Here is a 27,886-nt window from a genome sequence, read left to right on the forward strand (position 1 = left end):
GGAAGTGTCTTCATGGTAATGAGCAGTTAGGCCAACTGGAGGTTGCTTTCATTGCTGTCTGCTGGTTTTGGGTGGCTTCTTCCCTGCATCCTGTTCTGACTAGATCCTGCTTCCATCAGCGGGGTTGTGACTCAAAAATAAGTCCTGCCAGTCTCCTGCCTCAAGGACATTCAAGTATTTTGGGAGCAGTTTCATCATCTTGATGACACCCCTCCTAGATGTCCCCGTCCTCTTGTCCCAAGATTGCAGGCCTCTCTCCTGACCTGCTCGGCCACCCTAGAAGCTCCCTGAACTGCCATCTGGTTCTTTCTGCTTTTCTTTTGGGATGGATCTCACCTCAAAAGAATGTGCTCTGGATCTCACATCTTTCTTTCTTGATTTACTGCCTCCACCCCTGCAATTTCCTTGCCTCTTTTCAATTTCCGCTCCTTTAAATCATTTTAGAAGGGTTTGAGGAAGAAATAGTGATCAATACTTGCATTCGGTCTCCAGGTTTAACCTGAAGTTCCCCATATTTTAAGACCAGAAAAAAAAATAAAGATTTTTTTCCATTTGGGTAGAAAAACCTATATTTTCAAATTCCACTACTTGAATTATTCTGTGCCTTTTCTTCATTGTGTGGGTGTACCATTCACCAGCAACTTGTAAAATCCATGTAGGGAAGCACCTCTCAAGTTGCTTTCTGCAAAAGTGTACCCAAAAGAGACACAAAAGTTTGGCCTCAAAAGTTTGAAAATGTCTTTATTTTATCCTTGTGCTTGTCGACATCTTGCTGAATACAGAATTTCAGGTTGGAAACACTTTTTTCTAGCTTTGGTGGTGTTGTTGAGAAGTCCAACAACAAAGGATTCTTAATCCTTTGTATACACAATTTTATTTTCTTTATGGAAATGTTTAGAGCCTTCTCTTTGTTTCCAATACTCTAAAATTCCCAAATAATAAGCCTTGGTATAAATCTATTTTCACCTATTTTGAAGAATATTTGATATGGGATTGCAACCTGGAGACTCATGTCTTTCAGTTCTGGTAAACCTTATTGAGTTAATTTATTTACTTTAAAAAAGAATATTCTCCTCTCTGTGTTTACATTCTTGAACTTTCATTGCTGGTTATGGACCCTCCTGGACTGATCTTCTAATTTTAAAGGTATTTTAAAATTTAAATTCTAACTCTTTTATTTTTTTTTAGAAGAGCTATACTTCCCAAACTTCTTCTGAGTTTTTTTCTACTATCATATTTTTAATTATTTTTTTTAAGAGACAGAGGCTTGCTATGCTACCCAGGCTGGAGTGCAGTGGCTATTCACAGGTGGGATCACATAGGGCACTGCAGCCTTGAAATCCTGGACTCAAGTGGTCCTCCTGGCTCAGTCTCCTCAGTAGCTGGGACTACAGGCAAGTACCACCATGCCCAGCATATTTTTAAATTCTTAAGAGCTCATTTTTTGTTCTCTGATCGTTCCCTTTCTACATAATGTTGTTTTAGATTCATTGATATAATAGCTTCATTTGATTTCTCTGAAAATATTAAAGATACTTTTTTGGTATAATTTTTGTCTTTCTACATGGGCTCTGTTTCCTCTAATTTACTTTGATCTGTTTTTTTCTTAGGGGGGATCTACTTCATGCTAGAGCTTTTCTTACATGTCTGGGGATCCTTAGCTGTCTGCTGAAATTTAAAAGTGGAGCATTGAAAAGTAGATTGGAAATGTTGAGCATATAGTTAAGGCTTATCACTTATGGGTTCCACTGTGTGGTAATCTTTTCGGGTCATCATAGGAGAACTCTTGATGTCAGGATCTAGGTCCTTTCTCTTGTGTTGGTCAAATTTCCCAGAGAATAAGCTTCTCATTTCCTTTTGGGCAGTATATTTATTGGCCAGTGAGTCTGGGGGTAAATAGGTTTGAGGGTTCCAATATTCAGTATGGAAATTCCATAAAATGAACTATTTGTAGTATGGACACCTGTCCTCCCATGTGCCTGGTATCCCCCAGGCCAGAAACGTTCTACTTTATTTCCAAGAGAGTCAAGCTCAGTCTTCTAACACAGTGAGGGACATGCAGCTCTCTGGAAGTGTATCTTCCTCCATAGGTTTGCATCCAATTCCCCTATGTTCAATTCAGGCCCAGCTGGGCTCCCATTCTGTAGAGTAGGTACCTCCAGAATTGTAGACTTCATGGGTTCTGAGGTTTTGCTTCTGGGCACTCCCATGACCAGGTTAGAATTATCTTTCTCAGGTGTGCATAAGTCAGGAAGTCTATTATTTGTTGCAACTCCTTCATCAGCTCTCTACCACCTCCCCAAATTTTGTTGCTGCAATCGACTTTCCCATTCTCCTTGTCTCTTTTTAATCCCTCCTGCCCCACCCCACCTCACTTTAAATCATTTTAGAAGGGTTTGAGGAAGGAGCACTGATAAGTGCTTTTGTTCAACCTTCCAGGGTTAACTGGAAGTTCCCTATGTTTTATGACCAGAAAAAAGAAAAAAATATATATTTTGCATTTGGGTAGAGCAAACTATTGTCAAAATTCTACTACTTTAATCATTGTGTGACTTGTCTTTATTGTATAGGTGCACCATTCACTAAGTATTGCTGAAATCCAAGTGGGGAGTGAGTTTTAGTTTGCTGTAATAAGAAACAAAACCACTCAGTTTTTCTCTTTCTTTCTTTCTTTTTCTTTCCTTTCTTTCTTTTTCTTTCTTTCTTTCTTTCTTTCTTTCTTTCTTTCTTTCTTTCTTTCTTTCTTTCTCTCTTTCTCTCTTTCTCTCTTTCTCTCTTTCTTTCTTTTTCTTTTCTCTTTCTTTCTTTCTTTCCTTCTTTCTTTCTTTTTTTTTTTTTTTTTTAAAGAAACAGGGTTTTTCTTTGTTGCCCAGGCTTGTCTTTCACTCCTGGGCTCAGGTGATCCTCCTGCTGTTACCAAAACACTAGTTTATTCTAGGTGCTGGTGCTTGCTGCACAGAAAGCCAATTACTGAGACAACAAGTATTGCCAAGGAAGAAGGCTTTAATTGGGTGCTGCAGCCAAGGAAATCTTAGTCTCAAATCTGTCTCGCTGACCAACTACAATTGGGGCATTTATATCATAGGGTAGGAATGTAACTAAGTGTAGGAAACAGGAATTATGGAGGGGTAAGGAAGAGGAGTTGGTCTACAGGAAGCAGGTGGTCAGTTAGGCAATCATGATGAGTGAGGGGTCTGGTGTCTCATTGTCTAGATGCAGTGATCTGGTGAGTTTCAGTTCCTTGATACCATCTGGGAGGTCTGACAGTTGGTATTCTGAGGAAGGAACTCAGATAAGACAAATGCATTTCAAGCTTTAAGACCAAGACAGTATATTTCTATGTTTATCCAAAAAAAAAAAAAAAAACCCAGTGAACATCAATTCTATGGGACAATTGGGCTAGTTTCCCCACCTCAGCCTCCTGAGTAGCTGGGACTACAGGTGTGAGCCACCATGCCTAGCTTAGCTCAGTATTTTTCAAATGATTTCCTTAATTCATTAGTAGGCTGTGAAATCAGTTCATTGGATTATGGGCATTTTTGATTTTTTAACTAATGAAATTGAACAGACTAGAACAAAATGGAGTAAAATAGAAAATATGAGGGTTGTTGTATATGGTAAGTGTAGGAATTATTTTATAAAATTGTTTTATATTGATATTAAAAGCATATGTATATTACATTGTGATATAATTCTCATTTCTTATTCAGAGTATGTCCAACAACATTTGAAGGTCATGCTTTTGCTAAAAGTTATTGAACTTAGCTAGAGAATTTTTGATGTTTGCCTTTCCAACCAGTTGAATCAAATTCAATTTAGTGGTTGTAGGACATGCCCTAATCTGAGGGCTTTTGGAAAATTTTCTCAGTGGGTTGATGAAGAAGGTAAATGGTTCTTGGTCACTAGGCATTTTTGTTTGTCCACATAAACCTTTCACTTTTCTATCCTAGCTCAATCCCAAACTTTAATGTGAGTGATAACAAACAGCTCATCTCTTCGGACCACTATTATTTTGTGTCTCTGACTAGAAGTCCAATGTCAACCTAACTGATACAGATGGGTACTAGCTGAAATTATCAGAATGGTGGTCACTCTAAGAGTTCTACTGAATGTTAAGTAATACTAAGTACATGAGATTTAATATTTCCAAATATTTAAGATCACCTATTAGGCTATGCATCACTCTTCACTTTTGTTATCTCATCTAATCATGAAACAGACTTAGAGAGTTATTAACAAGGAGCTATTCTTAGCTCCCATTTTATATAAAAGGCAACTGAGAACCAAAGACATGTGGAGAATTGACTCAAAATCACAAAGCTAAGTGACAGAGTTGGCTCTAATTCCATCGCTCCAAGTCAGAAGTTGTAGCTGTTTTGTGGAAGATGGCATAAAATAGCATTTAAGGAGGAAGGATTGGGGGCCACAGAGAACTTAGGTTAAGTCTGTCACATGATAGTGCTTTGATCAGAGGCAAGTAACAAAAGTTCTTTGTCTCTTCATTGGTAAAGGGAAGGCTAACACTATCTGCCTTACAGGGATGCCATGAGAATTAAATGGAATAATGCCTCTGAGGAAGATTGTGTTTTCTAAAAATGGCCACAACAATATTTTCAATCCCCATGGTTGCCTTACAATGTGATTTTGATACTCTTCTCATCAAGAGATGAGCTCTGTGTTCCACTATCTTAAATCTGAACTCACGTGTATGGTGGAAATGGCACTATGTGACATCTACGGCTAGGTCATAAAAGGTGATGCAGTTCTTACCTGGTCCTCTTGTCCTGTTTGTTTTTGAAACCAGCCACCATATTGTGAGGAAGCCCAAGCAGCTCATGGAGAGGCCCACATAGAAAGAAACTGAGAGGCCAGGCACGGTGGCTTATGCCTGTAATCCCAGCACTTTGGGAGGCTGAGGCGGGCGGATCATACGGTCAGGAGTTCGAGACCAGCCTGGCCAACATGGCAAAACCCTGTCTCTACTAAAAATACAAAAATGTGGTGAGCACCTGTAATCCTAGCTACTCAGGAGGCTGAGGCAGGAGAATCATTTGAACTCAGGAGGCGGAGGTTGCAGTGAGCTGAGATTGTGCCATTGCACTCCAGCCTGGTTGACAAGAGCAAGACTCTGTCTCAAAAAAAAAAAAAAAAAAAAAAAGAAAGAAAGAAAGAAACTGAGAATCCTGGCCTCCCACCCTGCTTGAGCGCTCAAGCAGCACCAACTTACCAGCCACATATCTGAAGAATCCTGGAAATGAACTCCTAGACTCCATTTGAGCTTCCCCAGTTGACACCAGATGAAGCAAAGATGATGTTCCCCACTGGTCCAGGCTGACATGCCAGATTCATAAACTAAATAAATGATGTTTTTAAAAAGCCACCAAATTTTTGAGTGGTTTATCTATGCAACAGTAGATATATGGGAACAGATGTGCAGCACAGCATCTGCTGTTTAGTAGTACTTGATGAAAGCTCACAGTGATTATTATTACTAATATTATTCTTATTGTTTAAACTGCATTATTTCCTCCTGACCACTGATGAAGATATTTGGAAACTGGACCAAAAAAGTCAGGAGACAGAAATCTTTTTGGAGATTTCTCTACAGAGCCTTAATGAAAAATGTAGGATTCTGACTCATGACTACAGTTTAGTGCCCATGGAATTATAAAAACAGAAAGAGTTCCATGTCCCTGTCTTATCAATTCCTCATCTTTAGATTAGCAAACATCCAAACTACTCAAACGTGGTATTTTCTCCTGCTATCAGAGCTTTTAGAGGGGAGGGGCTGCAACTTATTCTTCTAGGGGCAGGGAAGCCCGTAAAAATCTCCCATGACTCCATGGGGAAGCTGAAGGAAGTTTGAACTGAATTGTTGGTCCAGTGAAGTACCCTGGACCAATGCAGGGGAACCATGAACACCACCGAGATGATGATGAAGGTGGCATGGACTGCATCATGGGGATTCTGAGGACAGAGATAATCAGACTTCAGGGTTCTATTCACCGTTTCTCCTGTGAATGACGCAACCTCTGGCTGGGGTTCCTTTCACAATAAACATCAATAAGCTCGTAGACAGCTATTTTGTCTTTCTTTTTCTGGGCTGGTTATGCAAACTCAACTTTCTTCATTGCTCTTTGCCAAATCTCCTCTACTGTTTTTTCCACACACACTTGAAAGTGAGAAGACTAAATCTAGACACAATTAGAGTTCAACCAAGCCTGCTTAAAACAAAAGGGCTGATCCCTGACCCCCACATTTCATACATGTGCAAGTGCTCCTAAGGGCACCATTCTCACATGCTACCTTTATAACTTTTATTGAGCTTAGGGTTCACTATAACTCCCAGATTTTCTCTATCTCCTGATATCTGTGCTCTTTTTTCTTCCTCCCAATTGTTACTGCTTGGCATAATGTAGCCAATCCCAATTAATACACTTGGCTGACAGGGCCCTCCATGATTCTTACCGCTTTTCTGGCTTAATCTTACCATTCTCCCGCTTGTTCATTATATTCTTGATATATTGGCCTTCATTCAGTTTTTTAGTCCAGCTAGCTCTTTTTCTTTTTATTGTTCAATGTGCCTGGCATTCAGTAATCTGTAGCAAATGCAGTCAGTGCCCCATTCATATCCCCTCAGCATTCACTATCAAGGGCTTCCTCCTAAGCATATATGACGTCTCCACCTGAGGCTTCCTGGGGCTTGGGAAGAAAGCTCTACTGTGGGTAGGGAGGGCTGGAGGTGGGGATTGGGTGGAGTGGGGTGGGGGGAGAAGGAAAGCGTTGATCCACTGGAAGCAGCTCTCAACCATGGTGGATGGGAATTTGTGAATCAACAATCCACCTTCATGTTCTACACCGTCTCCCCAAATTCCCAAGCTGGAAGGGCTGCGCCTCCATTGCTCATAGCACTAACTTGCTCATTGGCGCTCTTCCCTGCCTTATTTCCTCACTCCCCTACCCATGTTTATTGAAGTAATCTCTCAAATAACTACATACACTCCAATCCTTTTCTCAGATCGAAGACATAGGGGTTTATTGTATGTTTGTGGTTATTATTAACAGCAGAATGGCTATGGTAAAACAAAATGTCTCAACCAGGCACCTCACAAGGTGCAACCAGCTTCAGTTCATAGAGGGTGTTTTGCAGTTGAAATACCTGGTTATACTCCAATAGGATTCACATTCATTCATTCAGCCATTCAGCAAATATTGATTGAGTGCTTACTCTTAGCCAGAGGTAGGGATTTCAGCATCAGAAGTGGCTGCAAGTGGTTGCAAATCTGAGTTAGAATTACTGTTGGGAAAACAGAAAGGTAGCCCTAATTCCAGGGAAATAGAAAGGCAGCCCCAATCCCTTCCCACTCCACTCTCTGACTCCATTTCCCTTTCCCTCCCCTCAGCATTCTGGCTGCTCCTTAAACAGAACTCAGTCAGCTCCCCTCTGAAGTATTCCACCTTCTTCATGAGATCTTTAGACCTCAACCCCCTTTCTTTAACAGCTGCTCCTCCAACCCCTTAGCCTGAACTGGTTCCTCAGGGTGAATCAGCCTATCTCCTCTATCCCCTCTTCTAAGCATTTAGTTTCACCTCCCTCTGCTTTGGCATCACCTATTACCTAGATATGTCCTAGACTATGGCACGGCACATGCCTACTTGGAACTGTGTCTCCCTTTCTAATTTGTAATAGACATACATGGCGGCTGTTGTTGCCATAACCATATCCCACTGCCCTTACCACTTCAGGGGCACACTGGCCCGATTTCCAGCTGGCTGCACCTGCATTTATTGATCTGAGCTTGACTTCCCACCTGTGCAGCGATCACCCACAGGGATGGCAGGCTTGATAATGGGCCCTTTCAAGGCTGCTTCCTTTCCCTATCCCACCTCCCTATTCCTCTACCGATGTTTTATTCACCTTCCAAATAAACCACCTGTGGCTGAATCCTTAATTTAGGATCTGCTTCTGGGTTAGCCCAAACAAAGATTTAGTTTTAAATTTATAGTTAATTTTAAGCAAAATATATGGATTTCTATTTTTTGTTCCGTCAAGTACAGACACTATATCTTAATTCTTTTTTATTTTATTTTACTTTAAGTCCTGGGATACATGTGCAGAACATGCAGGTTTGTTACATAGGTATACATGTGGCATGGTGGTTTGCTGCACCTATAAACCCATCATCTGGGTTTTAAGCCCTACATGGATTAGGTATTTGTCCTAATGCTCTCCCTTCCCTTGCCCCTCACTCCCCGACAGGCCCCAGTGTGTGTTGTTCCCCTCCCTGTGTCCATGTGTTCTCATTGTTCAACTCCCACTTATGAGTGAGAACATGCGGTATTTGGTTTTTTGTTCTAGTGTTAGTTTGCTGAGGATGACGGCTTCCAGCTTCATCCATGTCACTGCAAAGGACATGATCTCATTCTTTTTATGGCTGCATAGTATTCCATGGTGTATATGTACCACATTTTCTTTATCCAGTCTATCACTGATTGTCATTTGGGTTGTTCCATGTCTTTGCTATTGTAAATAGCGCTGCAATAAACATACGTGTGCATGTGTCTTTAGTAGAATGGTTTATATTTCTTTGGGTATATACCCAGTAATGCGATTGCTGGGTCAGATGGTATTTCTGGTTCTAGATCCTTGAGGAATCGCCACAATGTCTTCCACAATGGTTGAACTATTCAGAACTTGTTATCGGTCTATTCAGGGATTTGACTTCTACCTGGTTTAGTCTTGGGAGGGTGTATGTTTCCAGGAATTTATCCATTTCTTTTAGATGTTCTAGTTTATTTGCGTAGAGGTGTTTATAGTATTCTCTGATGGTAGTTTGTATTTCTGATTCTTTTCAGTCTAAGATCAGATATTTCCCCTCCTTTCTCTTCCACCTTTTCTCTACTTTTCTATATGTATTTTTAGTTCTGTCTTCATTTTTACAGTGTTTACGTTGCTAACATTTACTTTCTGTAATAACATTTGAATAATCTTGAGATTTTTTTCCCTATAAGTTGTTTCTAAAAGTTGAAAACCAATAAACTAAGTATACATTATTATGCCTTTATATCTATCTAGAATTGCAGGGCCAAGTGGTTTTGCCTTTCCTTCTTCATGAGTTCCATGCCAAGAATCCTACATCACTCAAAGGAGGATGTTTCTAGCACCAAGGGCAAATAGAGTCCCCCTTTTACCCACCATTGATTTCTCACAATCATGTCACAGTGTAGTCTGTTTTGCAGTGCGAGCTTGATTCTCTTGTGCAGTTTTATTTCCCTAGTACTCCTCCTCTTATCCCAGGTTTTGCTTTCTGCAGTTTCAGTTACCTGCAGTCAACTGTTTTTAGATTTTGAGAAAGAAAGAGAACACACTTACCTAATTTTTATTACAATATATAGTTATACTTTTTCTATTTTATTATTAGTTTTTGTTGTTAATCTCTTACTGTCCCTAATTTATAAGTTAAGCTTTATTGTAGGTCTGTATAGAAGAAACAGTATACATAAGGTTTAGTACCATCTGTGGATTCAGGTATCCACTGGGGTTCTTGGAACATATTCATTGAGAATTAGGGAAAACTACTATATATTTTTTTCTTGTAGAGATATGTCACCACATCACAGCTATTTTTAAACTTCTTACTGATTCTATCAGTTGGTTTCATCCCAGTCTTTCATGAATATATTCTTTGTGGAGCCTACTTATTTTCTGTTCTGATTTGAAGTTTTGCTTTATAGACCTACTTTACAACTCTCACCCTTGCATTTCTTTTAGTTGCACTTTAGGGCTCATTCTACTGTTTTTTTGTATATGACTCTTTCAGTCTATTAATTTTTATTCTTCTTTTGTTGTGGCACAGCCTTAAGTAATTTCTGTGAAAAAGATATTGGGAAATTTACCTTCTGAGTCCTTGAATTATTAAAAATATGCTTATTTTATCTCAGATTTAATAATAGTTTGGTTGGGTATAAAATTCTCACATACATTAATTTGAGTATAAAATTATTGTAAATTAATTTTCTGATAGAAACTTCAATACTTTTCTGCATTGGCTAATAACACCCAGTATTGTTGATGTTAGTATGATCCTCAATCCTTTGTATATGATCTAAGTTTTCTGTCTTTAAGCATTTTATATTTTCGTTATATCCTTGGGATTCTGATATTTCATAAGTATGTACACAGTTCTGAATCCTTTTTCACTCATTTTGCTGGCATGCTGTGGGCCATTTAAAGATGAAGATTCAGATTAAATTCTCTGGCAGCCTTTCTTCTGTCATTGCATGTCTTTGATAATCCCCTCTCCACTACCCCCGTGCCCCGGCATTTCATCTGAAACTGCTAATGCTCAGATCATTTTCCTGAATTGACTCTCTATGCATTGTATCTTCTCTATTATGATTTTGGCCATTGTGTATTTACTCTGGATTCCAGAAAATTACCTTGACATTATTTCTCAACATTTCCATCTGATTTTCAAAACCAGAAAACATATTTTTAATTTCCAAGAGCTCTTTCTTATTTTTTGTTCATTTTTTTAGAGCATTTCATTCTTGTTTTGTAGATGTGATATAATCTCAAATCCTTCTGAGGTCATTAATTAGAGTTTTTTTTTTCTTAATTTCTTCTTTGGTTGCCTGAATTGTGTTTGTTTCCTCTGGCGTTGTTTAGTTTTGTTTGTTTGGTGCTTCTGCTTTGTGTAGTAGTTAGTATTCTCCATATTCTTGGTGATCTGTTTCGGTGTTCATTTTTAAGAAGGAAGACATGGATCCATTTTTCTAGGTAACTTGGTGTGCACTTTTGCTGCTGTAAGCTGTGTGGCTTGGGTGAGGCGCCTGCATGAGGGCAGGGCTAACTGACTGATAGGCTTCACATTAGAGAGAAGAGGCAGGCAAGGAGGTTTTGGGCCTGGGGACCCCCAAATGCCAGAATGAGGAGGGCATGGCCATGGGTGCTTTTACACACTCTAGGAGTCCTGGATCCTAACTCCTAGAAAGCGTGTTCAATTTAGAAAAGAAAGCTTTGTCGTCGCTGTTGTCTTTCTCTTCCCCAGGAGCCAGAGGTACAAGCTGGGTGGGCAGCCTGCCCTCTTTGTGCTCAGAGTTGGAGGAAAAGTAGGGCAGGGTGTAAGAAATGAATGGTGCAGTGGGTTGGGAGTACGTTTTTAATTCCTCTCCTCTTTTGCAGTCCTTTTTCCTCAATTGCTCAGCCCTGGTCTGCTGGCTGAGGAGCCTGTGTCCTGCTGGCAGGGTGGCCCTTTCCCTGCTGTCCCCTCCTGTGCCTTCTGAGCCACCGTTTCCCTCACACAGCCTTGTTCATCAATACACTCCGGCCACGCAGGCCCTAGCATTGTTTTTTAGAAACCTCTCATCTTTTGCTTGTTGGTTTCCTTACTGTTATCCTTTGATCTTAAGAGATTTTTATTCCTTGATTCCTCCATGTTCAAGGTGTCTTAGGAGAAGAGGAAGACAAATAGTATGCCCTGTCTCTATCTACAATTTGTCCCTTTTTTAAGATTTCTACTTTGGGTTAATTTTCCTGGTATTAGAACAAGTCTTGCTTTTGGCCAAGCCCAGGTATGGGGAATAATTTGGTGTTCCTTTCAACAGATGTTTCAATATTTGTTCATTTGAGGAGAGGTGTCTGGGAGGGGTGCTGGACAGCAGCAGCTGGTGGTGGCTTGACAGGTTCTTGGCCATCCCAGGTGACTGTGCCTAGTCCCTAACTCACAGGCCCCAGCCCACAAAACAAAAGCCAGTTCTTAGCCAGCACCATCCGCTCTAGGTAGAAGTTCACTGACCACCTGTAGTTACCTAAGCTTGACTCCTGGGAACTCTGATTCCCTACCCCTAGAAGCTTATTATAAAAAATCTCCTTTGGCCACACTAGATGAGACATGCTCCGGTGAGTGCAGTTTTCTTCATGTGATTCTATTTCCAGTGGCGTTTGGGCATCTCTCATGGAGAGCTCTCCCATTCACGGGCACCTCTGTGCAGGTGGGTTTCCAGGAGAGCCCAGCTGGGAGCACAATTCGGGAGAGTTTCAGAGCCCTCCTTCTGTGCCCAGCAGAGCCACTCTAAGATCCACTGGCGCTGGGACTGCGCCCACTCTTGGCTGCCTTTCCAGGCCATTCAGCAGCCCATTGTTTGCCACAGCCACACTCGAGTCTCTCGGGCTGTGCCCATTTCCAGCAACTCTGAGCGGGGTCACCAATTAAAGGAGGAAACAAAACGTTTCCTGAGCCGGCGGCCTCCGGCTGGCTCTGCTTCCTGTTGCTGTGTGAGTGCGGGGTTCTCGCGTTGCCCACGGCTCCCACCGTTCTCCGTGTGTGTCCCTCTCCACGTCTTCATTATTCCTCATTAGCTTTGGTTTCCTCTCTCCCCCTCCCCTTTTTACACGTCTGTTATTTCCAACCCTTTAGCCACACAAAATGAGGGGTGCCCTTTTCCTGTCGCCTCGGGAGTCACTCCTCCCTCTGCCGTCACCTGCGGATGCCAGGCCATGGCACTCGGCCACTTCTCGGCCACAATGGGAGCTCTCAGAGCCGGGCGGCGCGGCCTGGGCCGGGTGCCAACATGCCACAGCGAGGCAGCTCGGCCTGCAGAGGGGCGTGAGCCTGGCAATCAGACCCTCGCAGAGCCGCCACCGACTTGCTGTGGGGTCTGGGGCAAGTCACTTGACCTCTGCTTAGCTCCTCGTCCCGGAGAGGAAGTGAAGATGGCTTTCCTGGGACGCTGGAGGAATTACCAATGAAGGCAGGATGCCTCCTGGCCCAGGCCTAGAGACCCACTGCCAGCCTCTTGGATGGGTGATTTTGTGCATGCTCTCAGACAAACACACATACACACACACACACACACAAATACACATGCACATGTGTAGACACACATGCAAGCATACATATATTCATGCATTCATATATGTACTCATAGACAAAAACATAAATACATATGCACAGAGACATACAGACATACATTTACACACAAACACACATGAACAACCAATGCAGACACACACAAACACATGCACACTCAGACACAAAAATATTTCCACACCCACACAAACACATTTATATACAGACTTACACACTTTTTGTACACTTATACACACAGTCACAGACTTATTCTTACCCAAAATATGCACATATACATACACACATTTACACACAGACATACACACTCACATACAAATGCATGTTCACCACATCAAGGATACATATAAGTGTGTGTATATGAGTGGGTTTCCCAATGAAACAAATATAAACCAAATAAAATTTCAACTTCTCTTTATGAAAACAAAACAAACAGCTTGAAATCTCTGGGATTTTGCCTGTTCTTTTCTTGTTATACAGCAGTCAAAAGTCCTTGGCCTGTGTGTGCTAGTCACTGTGCCAGGCACAGTGAGGCATATGACAAACAGCTGATGTGGCCTCAGGCCTTGAGAGACTTATGGGCTATTCGGGGAACACAAGCCAATGACTCAGGGCACTGACATGCTAACACACTCGGGTAGAGAGCTTATGGGAGGGTCCAGCTGTGGCACAAAAGATGGAATGTTGCATCCTGCCAGAGGAGAAGGATCAAGGAGGGCTGCATGGAGGCAGGGGCTCTTGATTTGGATGGCCCCGCCAGATCAGGGCAGACCACTCATTTAGCTGGGCTTGGTGTCAGAGCCACAGGCAATGACTCTGACTCCAGACATGCATGTGGAATGTGTGGGAAAGAGCAAAGGGTCCCATCAATTCATTCTTCTTTGAAGAGGTGGCTTCAAGTGCCTGCCATGACCACAGTGGGTTGGGGGATTCTCAGCTACATCTGGGCCACCGCAGGCATCAAAGCTGGAGAAGCAGAGCTGACTGCCCCTCGAGCACCTTCACACCTAGCCTTGCTCGACACTGTCAGTGAACTCTTTGCACGTTTTTCTTCTGTAGCTGTGTATCTGTGGTGATCGACTGTATTTTTCAAAGGCAGTTGCATCAGTATTTTTGTTCCACATGCTCTTCCAGAACCTTGCCTCATCTGCACCAAGAGGTAGTGTCTGTTTCCCTCCCCTTGCACTTTGTTGCAAGGGTATGGCTTTGTTGACTACCTTGGTGAATAGAATGTGTGACCTTGGGGCTATGTCATGGAAGGTGGTAGGGTTTCCTCATGGTTCTCTCTTTGGGTCAAGTGCCTTGGGAGCCTGGCACACATGGGAAGTCCAACTGCCCTGAAGCTGCTGGGCTGGAGAGACCATGTGGAGAGACCACATAAGGACAGAGAGAGATGCTGGGGTCAGGGAGGACCCCCTGCTTGTCCAGCCCCAGCTGTTAGCATCTCCCCAGGGCCGGCACCAGCCATGAGTGAGGGGCTTTCTGATGACTCCATTCCAGTCTTTGGGCTGCCCAGCTGATGCCTAGTAGAGCAGAGATGCACTCTTCCTACAGAGCCTTGTGCAAATGGCATCTTCAGGAACCAAACAAACTTGCTGTGGGCTTAAGCCACCAAGTTTTGTGGAGGTTTGGTACCCAGCAACAGACAACTGGAGCATCAGTTCAAGCAAATGTTTGGTCATGTTTGCCCTTAAGGGCTGAGACAAACCTTGCAAAATCTTGGTTACTCTTGGAGGTCTTATTCAAAAGGCAAAGTCTTCACATGTGGACTTTTAAAAAATTGCACTCCTCCTGGAACACTGGAGAGGAAAAGCCCAAAAGATCCAAGGTGCCTCTTTACAAGCAGGTGGCTTTATCTAAACACACGATCATACAAACCACCTGCTGTCCTGCCTTTTCATGAACTTGGCTTCTTTTCTACCAGGTGTAGGGAACACAACCATTCAGCATAAACAACACTTACATTGGGCTTAGAAAGTCTAATGAAATGAAAGTGACAATCCTGGCATATTTGGGATTAGTCTTTGAATCCGTATGGTTCATTCTGCAAGGCAGGCTGACCTCCCACACTAGCAAAGGGACAGACCCTTACAGCCAGGGATCTCTAGAATGGAGAGCCGCCTGTTCCATCTGCTTCATGATGCATGAAGTACCTTGAATGTGCCTGCTAGTCAAGTCATGGAAAGTTAAGAGACAGAGAGAGGACATCTTGACTTAAAAATAGATGTTTAAGTGCATTTTCAATCCACCATAGGTGAGCATTTTCATAAAATACAATAACAGGCTGGGTGTGGTGGCTTACTCCTGTAATCCCAGTGCTTTGGAGGCCAAGGAGGGAGGATCACTTGAGCCCAGGAGTTTGAGGCTGCAGTGAGCTGTGATGGCAACCCTGCACTTCAGCATGGGCTACAGAGTGACTCTGTCTCTAAAACAATAAAAATAAAAATACAATGCAATGACAATGAATTACTAAGAAAATGAAATAAAAATATACACTAAAATTCAAGCCTAAAATTATTATTAGATTTAACAGACCTAAAGTTACCCTGCTTAATTGGTATCAAAGTCTCTAAGTGGTTGCCCTCCAAATCTCCACCCATCTCACTGCAGATCAGCACAAATCTTCAGTGCACAAGCTCAGGTGCCCAGGACCACTCACTGACTAGCACAGGTCTAGAGAGCAAACAGAAGCTATTTTCAGGAAGGCAGAGTTGGAATGGGAAAGGTGCGAAGGAAAAAGCCGTAAAATATGTGGGACCCAGGTGTAAGAAGTAAGAGAAGTGGGCTGTCTTCAGCAGGGGAAGCGCCAAGACAGAGAATGTTAGGGTTCCATACAGACTGACTTTGTTCACTCTTTGTTTTTTAGCCTGAGGTTGATCTTAAGATCAGATTAAGAAAATGTGGCACATATACACCATGGAATACTATGCAGCCATAAAAAATGATGAGTTCATGTCCTTTGTAGGGACATGGATGAAGCTGGAAACCATCATTCTCAGCAAACTATCGCAAGGACAAAAAACCGGACACTGCATGTTCTCACTCATAGGTGGGAATTGAACAATGAGAACACATGGACACAGGAAGGGGAATATCACACACTGGGGCCTGTTGTGGGGTAGGGGGATGGGGGAGGGATAGCATTAGGAGATATACCTAATGTTAAATGACGAGTTAATGGGTGCAGCACACCAACATGGCACATGTATACATATGTAACTAACCTGCACATTGTGCACACATACCCTAAAACTTAAAGTATAATAAAAAAAAGAAAAAGAAAAAACACTGAACAGGAAAACACACACACACACACACACACACACACACACACACAAAGAGTCTCCACTGGAGAGAGGGTGGACAGGGCATGAGGATTTGTAACTTCTGGCATTCTGGCAGAGACTGGTATTAGGGCTCCTTTAACTGAAAGCAAATTCTATTTCCAGTCCTTCAGAGACACCAAGTAGGCTCCAAAGAGCCTGGCCAAGCACACAGTCCTCACCCCACAGTATTCTTCTTGGACGTTTGAACCTTGGAGTTGCAGGAATTCTGAGGATGCTTCAGCGTGTGTGTGTGTGTGTGTGTGTGTGTGTGTGTGTGTGTGTGGTGTATGCCAGCTCAGTATCTAGCAATCAACTTCCATGGTGGCATGACACTTGTAGCATGGTTGACAGATATGTCCTTTCCTTCTTGGATAGTGTCTGTTCTAACACGTGCCATTTGGGATCCCTTGGAATCTTCATGTACAGAACTGGTTGCTGCCTCGTTGAGTCGGTGGGGACAGAATAGCTCCTGGTTGACAGCATGGGTTGTGCAGAAGGACGGATCCTGCAGGTAAATCACAGCAGATCTCAGCCATGTTTGCAAGTATGTTACTTAAAAAATTCCAATTCTAATGCATTTAAGAGTTTTCATGATTCACGTCATTTTCACCCCTCTTTCATTCTGCTGTGCTTTCTTGCGTGGAAGGGAAAAGCATAGCCTTACAATTCACAGGCATCACCCACTCCTCTCTCACCATTATTGCATCTCATGGCCCTCAAATCTTACTGATGTTTTGTTACCACTTATAGCAATTTGAGGTTAATAAAGAGTTTCAAATCCCAACATTTTTGGGGGGAGCCTTTATAAAAATCTCATATGATATTTATGTCAGTTTAATAAAATATGATGATACCCAGCAATTTCACTTTCATCATTTAGACCAAAGGAATATTTGTACACATGCATGAGGCAGTATGTGAAAGGAAATACATTATGGCAATTTCTGGAAAAATACGAATTTAGAAATGCCCTAAATGGCCATCAAAACGGGGATGGACAGATAAACTCAGATTCATTCATACAATGGGATGCTCACAAGACATATCTGTAAGTGGGAACATGGAAGTGTCTCAAGATGCACTGTTGACCGAGGAAAGCGATTTCCAAATAATACACGCAGCACGATAGCATTGCTGAAGGAAACAGAACCTCATAAACTACAAAGCGTGACCACAGGTTTTCTAAGGGTACATACCTCATAGAAAATAATTTGTAGTGCAACATCCAAAACGATGACAATATCTCCTGTAGTAGGAGAGGAGGAAACCGAGAGCAGTGGTGCTCAAAGGGGATTTTTAGTCTTACTTGTAATTCTTGGAGTTTTTTTTTTAATGAGGAAACATTACTCATGTCTTATTTATGTAGTAATAAAATCATGTCAGAAATCTGGGTATACTGATGAGCATGACTATCACCCCGGCAACGTCTATCTGAGTAAAGGCCAAATAAAGACGAGAGAAAGAGACAAGAGCACTCACAGAGCAGTGCTCAAGGCCAGGGCCCATGACTCCAACTGCCAGAGCCTCTAGCTCCAGCTCCACCCCACAACCCACCCTGGCTGCGGCAGCCCTCAGAGGTTTCCTGGGCTTGCTGCCAGCTGTGGGGTTAGGAAGTTAAGAGAATGAACCCTGGAGCCAAGCCACCTGGCTTCCCATTTTTCCAATCTTTCCAAGCGATGCGATCCCTGGGGAAGTCAGGCACCCCTCAGTGCTTCAGCTCCCTTGAGTGTCAAGTGGGTACAAAAATATGGGGGTGTTATGGGAGTTAAATTAAATCATATGACCAAAATTTAGAATGGTACCTAGGACAGAGACATCTCCAAGTAAATATTATCTGCTACTATTAATCTTCAAAAGCTTTTTTTTCTTCCCTAGAAGTTTCTTTAGGGACTCAGATGTTTAATTTCCACTAAGACCAAGCCAGCTCCAAAGCCTCCTCCTTTATTTCAGATCCTTGATAAGTAGCAACATGGGAAGGTTTAAAAGAAAGTCAGGTCCAACATTTCCTTGTATGAATGGAGAAACTGAGGCCCAGAGACGCAAGTCTCATTGCTGATCCTCCCAGGAAGTTAGCAGAAGAGCTAGCCCAGACGTCCTCCCTCCTGACCCCTCTGGCCAGCTCTGTGACCATTGGCACTACACACTCCTCTGACAGAGGAAAGAGCGGGAGCTGAGCTGGGCGCCCTGGCTTATGCTTGGAATCCCAGCACTTCGAGAGGTTGAGGCAGGAGGATTGCTTGAGCCCGGGAGTTCAAGACCAGCCTGGGCAACATGGTGAAACTCCATCTCTACCAAAAATATAAAAAATTAGCTGGGTGTGGAGGTGTGCACCTGTAATCCCAAGCTACCTGAGAGGCTGAGGTGGGAAGATCACGTGGGACTATAGTGAGACATGACCACGCAACTGCACTCCAGTCTGGGCGATGGAGTGAGACCTTGTCTAAAAAAAAAAGGAAGCTGGAATTGGCTTGTGGAACAACAGAATTGTAATTTTTCTCAAAAGACTGACTTATTCCACTTTGGAAAATGGGCAAAATACTCCTGCAGCTCCGGCAACATTCTATGGGGTCCTCAGTTATGACCGTGACAATGGTACAGACAGGCTCGACCCTGCTGGTGCCACAGAGCAGGGACTGTGGGAGCCTGAAGATGAGCTTTCATGGCTCCAGGACAGGACAGAGAGGAGGCACCTCTGCAGGAGGCTCGGAGATTGAGATGTGCTCATTGCAGGCAGGCAGCTGTCCTTCCCATGGATGAGAGCAGCCCCTCTCTTCTGCAATATTGACCAGCAAAGAAAACAAAAACCATCTTCATACTTTTTCAGTAGAAAATGAAGCAGTTTATTTAATATTATTTGGATAACAAGCCTCCACATGAACAGGATTCGAATGTCAGTTGTCTTAGGGGAAAAAAGATTTATTGGTTGGTAAATATTGAGAAAGAAAAGCTGATAAAGAACAGTTTCAGCTGCGGCTTCTGCCCGGAGCAGGAGAACAGGCCTGTGTTGTATTTTGGGGCCCTGGGAAGGCAAAAAATTGTGAATGTCTTTCTTTGTTGGTGGGTGTAAAAGTGGAGCCCGCTACAAATAATTTCTTATTTCTTGTCGCATAGATTTTAAATTATGTAGCTTCCCTACCTTGTTAAGTATTAAAGCGGTCTTGTTTAAGGAAGAGACACTTAAATAATGAAGCTTATGTATCTTGTTTTCAGACATCAATATCTGGCTTTGAGTGGCACAAAGAAATAAAGGAATGTGGATTCAGACCTCACTGGGATGCTTGGCAATTCTAATTCTACCCCAGACTGCAAATGGACACACAACTGTTGTGACTTTTGTTGAAGAGGAGAAGGATGGGTGAGCATGTGACGTTGGGAAATTGTATTTTCTTCTTCGAGTTCTTCTGTTTCCGAATATTTAATCCTACTGTTTTCTTCTTTAGTGAAGGTCTCTTTAGTCAATAATCTCTTTGCTGAAATTGCTTCGGGCAGCACAGAAGCTGGATTCAGAAGCACACAGGTCTGGGGATGCAGGCTTCGGCCAGCCTGATGCAAGGAAAGACTGCCATCTCGTGGTCAGCTCAATCCTGGCACCTTGGTGAGGGACCAGGCTGCAGAAAACCAGGCTTGGGGAGGAAACGGTGCTGCAAACTGGATTTCTGCCGGACAGTGTGGATGCCCTTAGAAAACACCCAGAAAAGAGCTGAGTGCCCCCCAAGGTAGGCTTCAGTGAATCCTCTGCAGGTGTGTTGTCATCCCTTGAGCCAAACACATGCTTCACACACACGCTGCAGGCTGCGTGAAAATGAGGTAGAAATGTGGGGAAAACATAATCCCATGGAGAGAACAAAGAGCTGAACACGTAAATGCCTCCGGCGTGCCTGGCAGAGAGAACACTCAGGCTGAGAGAAGGGACAGTGACTTGTACCAAAGGTAGGCAAGTAGCCTCTGGGGTCTCAATCAGCAGGGCATCTGGTCAACCCTTCAGACAAAGTCAGGTCTGAGCAGGCAAGATCCATGGATCTGATTTATTAATATTTTTACAATTAAATAGAATCTGATTGTAAAACTGTTACATGTGTTGTAAGAAAAAAAGAAAAAAAGGAAGGATATAGAAATGTACAAAGAAGGAAATAAAAGACTGGAAGCGTCCTCACCTTAGGGACCCATTATTAACGCTTAGGTGGCCAATCTTCCAGACATCTTGCTACGAATATATTCAAACGGGAATTAAAAATGTACTTTTACACAAGTGCAATCAGACCTTGTACTCCTCTATCCCATAACCTACTTTTTCATTCAACACTATGACAGAAGCGTCTTTCCAGGTCCATAAATAAAGGTAGGCCTCATCGTTTTTTATCAATTACATAAAGCTAATGGTATATAATACTGATTTCATACCTGCTATATGCCAGGCACATACATGGTCTTGCATAATCTCATAATGACTCTACAGAACGGGAGTTTGTATTATGCCCATTAAGCAGATGAACAGGCTGTGGCACAAGAAAATTGATCAGCACTGCCAGGGTATCTGACCTCAGAGCCCAGGATCTTGACTAGTAGGCTAGAAATGAACATAATTTACTTACCAGTTTTCCAGTGATGGACATTAAGCCATTTCCTACTTTTCTGGTATAAAAAATAAGATTGCAGTGAAACTTTAGGGCATATACATCTTTGCACGTTAGTGAGTTCTCTCTAAGTTAACCTGAAAGCGGTGGGCTGTGGAGTTTGTGGGTCAAAGTGTATGCTCGATTTATGCTTTACTATGTGCCCGACTTCCCTCCAGGCAGCATGTGCCAGCTCACACTCCCAACAGCTGCGCAGGAGAATTTCCAGTGCCCCACGACCTTGTCAATACTAGGCTTCCTCATCAGTTTTTTCTCTCCTTTATTTTTCTTTAGGAAAAAAAAAACAGCCTTTGAAAAAAATTGTACGAACAAGTGCAATGTGTGCTTGTAAGTGCTTCACCAAATGTAGATCCACCCGGTGTTAACCTTTTGCCACATCTGCTCTCTATTAGTTTTTATCACACTTTGGAATTATCTATAGACATCATAACACTTGATGCCTAAATGCTTTGGTGTGTGTCTCTTAAGAACAAAGACACACCCTTACCTAAGCATAATATAATTGGTACACTTGGGAATTGCTAAAATACATTGCTAAAATACAGTTTTCTAATACAGAATCTATATCAAGTCATTGAATAAACACACTTCTTGACTTAAAATGAGATTACATCCCATAAACCCATAATAAGTTGAAAAAATGTAAGTAAAAATGCATTTAATACACTAAATCTGCTGAATATTATAACAATTTTGCCTACATTAAATGTGCTCAGAACACTTACATTAGCCTACGGTTGGAAAAAATTATCCAACACAAAGCCTATTTTATAATAAAGTGTTAGATATCACATGTAATGTATGGAATACTGTACTGAAAGTGAAAAACAGAATGGTTTTATGGGTTCTCACAATACGGTTTCCACTGAATGCCTATCACTTTTGCACCATTGTAAAACTGAAGAATTGTAAGTTGAACAATTGTAAGTTGGGGACTGTCTGTACTTAACAGATTTTTGTCTTGATCCAGAATGGAATCAAGGGTCACATATTGAGTTTCGCAGTCATGTCTCTTGAATCCAGAACAGATCTCCAGTCTTTTTGTGGTCTCTCATGACATTGGCATTTTGAAGAGTTTTATAGAGTGTACTTAGACCTGGATTTACCTGATTGAGCCTCAGGATTAGATTTAGCATAAATATTGTTGGCAGGCATATTATATAGATGCTGTTGCTTCCTTCTCAGGGCGTCATATCAGGAGGAACAACAAGATGTCAATTTGTCCACAATTTGTGACATTAACTTTGATCACTCAGTTAAGTGAGTGTCTGCTATATTTCTCCATTGGAAATGTACCCTGATCTTTTGTGATTATTAAGTGACCTACTGGGTGATACTTTGAGACAGAATATCGTGCTTCCCAGCAATCTCTTACCCAGTGATTTTAGTATCTATTGATCATTCTTGCCTGGATCAGTTGCTGTTTTGCCGGCTATAAAGTGCTCTTTCATTTCCCATTCTTTCTACTTTTAAAAAAAGTTATCACTCTTCTATAAAGAAAAACTTCTTATCCTATCCCTCAACTTTTTTAGTATCAGATTGTACTCAAGGCTTCTTTCTCTATCCAGTGTATTTCTGTAACTATCCATTTTGACAGCCAGATCATCCCAAATTTGGCAAGTGGCAGCCCCTTCAAGCTGGACCTGTGTCCTCTGAGCCCCTCTCTGCTCTCTGGCACGAGATGCTCCAGGCTCATCTTGCATTTTCCTTGCCTCAGGCCTGGCATCAGCCATTTCTCCAGGAGCCCTCCCATCTTTGTTTATATATTTATTAATATTTAATCTCTCTTATTATTATTAGTTTTAAAATTTATATAAAATAAAGTTGGCGTTTTTTGTGTAGTTGTAGGAATCTTAATATAGGTATAGGTTTGTGAAGCCACCACTGTAATTGAGATACAGAACAACTCCAAATCATCAAGTTACACACCTTAAATATATACAATTTTTAATTGTCAGCTATACCTCAGTAAAACTGGGGAGAAAATATACAGTTTCATGCCCAGAAGCTACTTTGTGCTTCCTGTTTGTGGTCAAACACATCCTTCATCCCTGACAGCTGCTGACCTTATCTCTGTCTTCATAGTTTTACCTCTTCTAGAATGTTACAAGAATGAGATCGCACAATATGCAGCCTTTTGAGTCTGGCTTCTACTTTCACTTAGCATAATGCCTTTGAGATTCAGCTGTTGCATGCATCAATAATTCGTTCCTTTTTATTGCTGAGTGGTAGATATTCCATCATGTGGATGAACCACGGTTTGCTTATCCATTTACCCATTAAGACAAATGGGTTGTGTCCAGTTTTTGTTGATTAAGAATAGAGCTGCATAAACATTTATGTATAGGGTTTTCTTGCATGAACGTAAGTTTTCATTTCTCTTGGGTAGGTGCCTCGGAGTGGGATTGCTGAGTCACACAGTAAGTGTATGTTTCACTTTTTAAAAGCTGTCAAGCCTCTTCCAGAGCAGCCAAGCCAGTCTGCGTTTCCACCAGCAATTTCTGAGAGTTCCAGTTGCTCTGCGTCCTTGCCAGTGCTTGGTATTGCCAGGTTTTTTATTTTTTAACCCATTCTAAAATATGTTTAGTGCCCCCCATTTTTTTTATCTTTGTAAATGTTATAGGTGAATTTTAAAAGTCAATCTCAATATATATTGGCTGTTAATAATACTATTAATACCTATTACTGTTAATAATGCTAATAAGTAACTATCAAATCTCATAGATGAAAAAGATGATTTATGATCTTTAAAATTTTGCATTTTTATTATTAGGAAAGTCAGAAGGGCTCAATTTTAAACAGAGAGAGAAGCGGATAGAGAAGTGTGTTCTTGCCTGAAGGTGTCTTTCATCTTGGGCTGCCTCTATCTATTTCTGGGATCACTGGCGGCCCTTGTACTCCTATCCTCAGCTCTTTCTGTAGGCTTTTTCATTTCATTGAGGACATGGATGGGAAAGAATGTCCAGCCCATTCTCTCTCCCTCTTTTGATTAAAAGGAGGGGAGGCAGAAGTGGAAAGGGCAAAACCAATTACAGGTTGTAGCGTACACTATCCAAAGCAATGTATACATTCAGTGAAATCCCTATCAAAACACCAATGACATTCTTTAGAGAAGCAGAAAAAAATAATCCTAAAATAATATGTGGAACCACAAAAGACCAAAATAGCCAAAGTTGTCCTGAGCGAAAAAACAATCCTGGAGGAATCACATTACCTGACTTGAAATTGTACTACAGGGCTATAGTAACCAAAACAGCATGGTACTGGTATAAAAACAGACACATAGACTAATGGAACAGAATAGAGAACCCAGAAATAAATCCAGACATGGTCAGTGAACTCATTTTCGACAAAGGTGCCAAGAACATACACTGGGTAAAGAACAGTCTCTTCAATAAATGGTGCTGGGAAAACTGGCTATCCATGTGCAGAAGAATGAGACTAGACCCCTGTCACTTTCTACCCACAAAAATCAAACCAAAATGGATTAAAGACAAATGTAAAACCTCAATCTACGAAACTACTAAAAACAAAAACAAAAACAAAAACAAAAAAACATTGGGGAAGTTCCCCAGGACATTGGTCTGGGCAAAAATTTCCTGAGTAATACTCTAAAAGTACATGCAACTAAAGCAAAAATGGAAAAATGGGGTTATATCAAGTTAAAAAGCTTCTGGCCTAGCGTGGTGGCTCACGCTTGTAATTCCAGCACTTTGGGAGGCCAAGGCAGGTGGATCGCCTGAGGTCAGGAGTTCGAGACCAGCCTGATCAACATGGCGAAACTCCATCTCTACTAAAAATACAAAAATAAGCTGGGTGTGGTGGTGCATGCCTATAATCCCAGCTACTCAGGAGGCTGAGGCAGGAGAATCATTTGAACCTGGGGAGACAGAGGTTTCAGTGAGACAAGATTGCTCCACTGCACACCAGCCTGGGCAGCAGAGTGAGATTCTGTCTAAAAAAAAAAAAGTTTCTGCACAGCAAAGGAAACAGTCAACAAAGTGAAGAGACAAGCCACAGAATGGGAGAAAATATTTGCAAAATATCCATCTGACAAAGGATTAATAACCAGAATATATAAGGAGTTCAAACAACTCAAAAGGAAAAAATTCTAGTGATTCAATTAAAAATGGGCAAAAGATCGGAATAGATGTTTCTCAGAAGAAAATATACAAATGGCAAACAGGTATATGAAAAGGTGCTCAGCATCATTGATCATCAGAGAAATGCAAATCAAAACTACAATGAGATATCCTCTCACCCCAGTTAAAATGGCTTATATCCAAATGACAGGCAGTAACAAATGCTGGCAAAGATGTGGAGAAAAGGGAACCCTTGTACACTGTTGTTGGGAATGTAAATTAGTACAGCCACTAGAGAGAACAGTTTGGAGGTTCCTCAAAAAACTGAAAATAGAACTACCATATGATCCAGCAATCCCACTGCTAGGTATATACCTGAAAGAAAGGAAATCAGTGTATTGAAGAGATATCTGCATTCCCATGTTTATTGCAGCACTATTCACAATAGCCAAGATTTGGAAACAACCCAAGTGTCCATAAACAGATGAATGGATAAAGAAAATGTGGTACATATACACAATAGAATACTATGCAGCCATAGAAATATGAGATTCTATCATTTGCAACAACATGGATTGAACTGGAGGTGGTTGCACTAAGTGAAACAAGCCAGGCACAGAAAGACAAACTTCACATGTTCTCACTTATTTGTAGGAGCTAAAAATTAAATCAATTGAACTCATGGAGATAGAGAGTAGAAGGATGGTTGCCAGAGGCTGGGAAGAGTAGTGATGGTGGGGGTAGGGTAGTGGGGAAGGAAGTGGGGATGGTTAATGGGTACCAAAATATAATTGAACGAAGGATGTTCTGTCAATTGAATAATTGATAGAATGAATAAGATCTCATATTTGGTAGCACAACAGGGTAACTAGTCAATAATAATTTGATTATACATTTAAAAATAACTAAAAGATTATAACTGGAATGTTTATAACATGAAGAAAAGATAAATACTTGAGGTGATGGGTACCCCATGTACCCTGATGTGATTATTACACATTGTATACCTATGTAAAAATATCTCATGTACCCCATAAATACATACACCTACTATGTATGTACCCACAAAAATTTATAGAGTGTGGTTATCAGAGCATGGAGTCATGTTCCTACATAGTGCTTAAAACTTCCACTAGGAATTATCATGCTCAATTCAGCTTGTTCCAGCTCTAGAAAAACAAGAGTATCAGCTAGGCTGTAGGTACCAGGCTGCACTTCTGACAAATAAACAAGACCCTAGCCTTGTTTTCAAGAAGCTCATTCTAGTGGAGACAGGGTGGGAAGGAGACACAGACAAAACCAGCCATGGGGGTTAATGTGTCTTAACAAAATGACACATAAGTCTGACCCAGGAAGAAAAGGAGATAGCTTTCAGAGGCCAGAGCTGAGCTCTGAGTAACTGTGGCTGCCGGAAACTGCCTCTTCCTTTCCAGCACTGGCTTTCCCAACCTGAAAAACTGGTTCAGTCTCACATGTGGATCCTGAGGACATTTAAAGAAGACATTTTACAGCCGTCCAGGGAACTCTGATGAGATCTGAAATGTTCTGTTGGTTCTGCAGCTATAAAATAACCTGCCTAGCACAGAAACATATAGCAACCATGCCTGAAAGAATGAATCTGGCTTTTGAAAGTGCTCAAATAGAAATCTGTTTACTGAGCAAAGCCATCATCCTGGCTGACTTACAGAAAATTGATAGCACCATTGTCCAAGATTCATGCTGTCTCCTGGCACATCAGAGACAGCCCTGGGGCACTTGATATCTGAGGTCATTTTCTTGGAGTTAAGGGACACTGTCCATGGGAACCACAAACTGCACTGGTCCAAACATTTGGTCAATGCAGCATACATACAAAGCCTGATTCATCTAGGAAAGCCACCTTCTCATCCTTTGGCAATGTGTCAGCATTTATGTAGCGGGGACTCTTTCTTCCCAGATTTTTACCTAATATAGAGCTTTAGTGGTGGTTCATAGTGAGTGCTTTCATCAGTCAGGAGATAAAACCATACCTTTTAACAGGCATAATTTTATATAAAAATTGTTAACTGGGTTCTTTCGCAGAAAGGCAAAAAGAGAACTCTAAGAAATCATGGTGGTGGCAACTGCAGGAAATAGCTACTTCCCCTAGGGGTGATGAAATAGAAGGAAGAACAGAAAACTATTAAAATGTAGAAGCTCAGAGGAGGGGCCCCATGGAGCTGGGACTAAGATATCTGAGTGAGGCCGCATTGAAACTGGGTCTGTGTATACTGTAAAAACTGCAAACTGGATGGAGTCACTGCTACAGGAAAGAACTTCCAGTGCCTGGGTTATCATTGAGGAAGTGATGCAGACAATAAGAGGAAGTATTCAGGAATAGGAGCTAATCAGAAACATGAAGTGCTCAGGAACAGGAAGTATTCAGGAGCAGGAAGTACTCAGGAACAGGAAGAAGAGGGCCACTTTCCCTTCCCCAGCCTCACGGTCTCCTTTTACTACTCACTCTTGGTGGATCCCAAGGAGCAGCTGGCTGGGCAGAATGGTGGATGCAGAGTTCTAGCCCTGGCATTACAAAGCTGGGTAGAAAAGGATAAGTTTGGAGCTTAGAGATAATAGCTCAATAACTGGCAAATTGTTCAATAGATATTTTTGAGTGACTGGATAATTTTACATGCAATAAAAGTCCAAGCTTTGACTTTCATTCAAAAATTTATTAACATTCCTGGGATTGCTTTCTCATGGGGAATTCTCATTTGTGCCAGACTCTCTCTCTCTCTTTCCTTCCTTCCTTCCTTCTTTGCTTACTTCCTTCTTTTCTTTTCTTCCTTCCTTTTCCCCCTTCTTCCCTTTTCCCTCCCTCCCTCCCTCCCTCTTTCTCTCCCTTCCTTCCCTCCCTTCCCTTCCTTCCCTCCCTTCCCTTCCTTTCCCTTCCCTTCCCTTCTCCTTCCTTTTTTCCTTCCTTTCTTCCTTCCTTCCTTCTTTCCTTTCTCTTTCTT

General features: G+C 41.8%; 2 long non-coding RNA genes across 2 annotated transcripts in view; one reads left to right on the forward strand and one right to left on the reverse strand.

Annotated features, from left to right (window-relative positions):
* LINC01727 (long intergenic non-protein coding RNA 1727) overlaps window positions 1–19,745 on the forward strand; it is a 45,699-nt gene extending 25,954 nt beyond the window's left edge. The window contains exons 2-4 of the long non-coding RNA NR_109880.1: window positions 16,571–16,706; window positions 19,406–19,550; window positions 19,685–19,745. This is a non-coding gene — a long non-coding RNA (long intergenic non-protein coding RNA 1727). The remainder of the gene's footprint in view (window positions 1–16,570; window positions 16,707–19,405; window positions 19,551–19,684) is intronic.
* Window positions 14,810–27,886, reverse strand: part of LINC01726 (long intergenic non-protein coding RNA 1726) — a 92,799-nt gene continuing 79,722 nt past the window's right edge. The window contains exons 4-5 of the long non-coding RNA NR_109878.1: window positions 16,375–16,700; window positions 14,810–15,294 (exon numbers count right to left, since the gene is read on the reverse strand). This is a non-coding gene — a long non-coding RNA (long intergenic non-protein coding RNA 1726). The remainder of the gene's footprint in view (window positions 15,295–16,374; window positions 16,701–27,886) is intronic.

The sequence above is a fragment of the Homo sapiens genome, chromosome 20 (genome assembly GCF_000001405.40).
Source record: "Homo sapiens chromosome 20, GRCh38.p14 Primary Assembly".
NCBI lineage: Eukaryota > Metazoa > Chordata > Mammalia > Primates > Hominidae > Homo > Homo sapiens.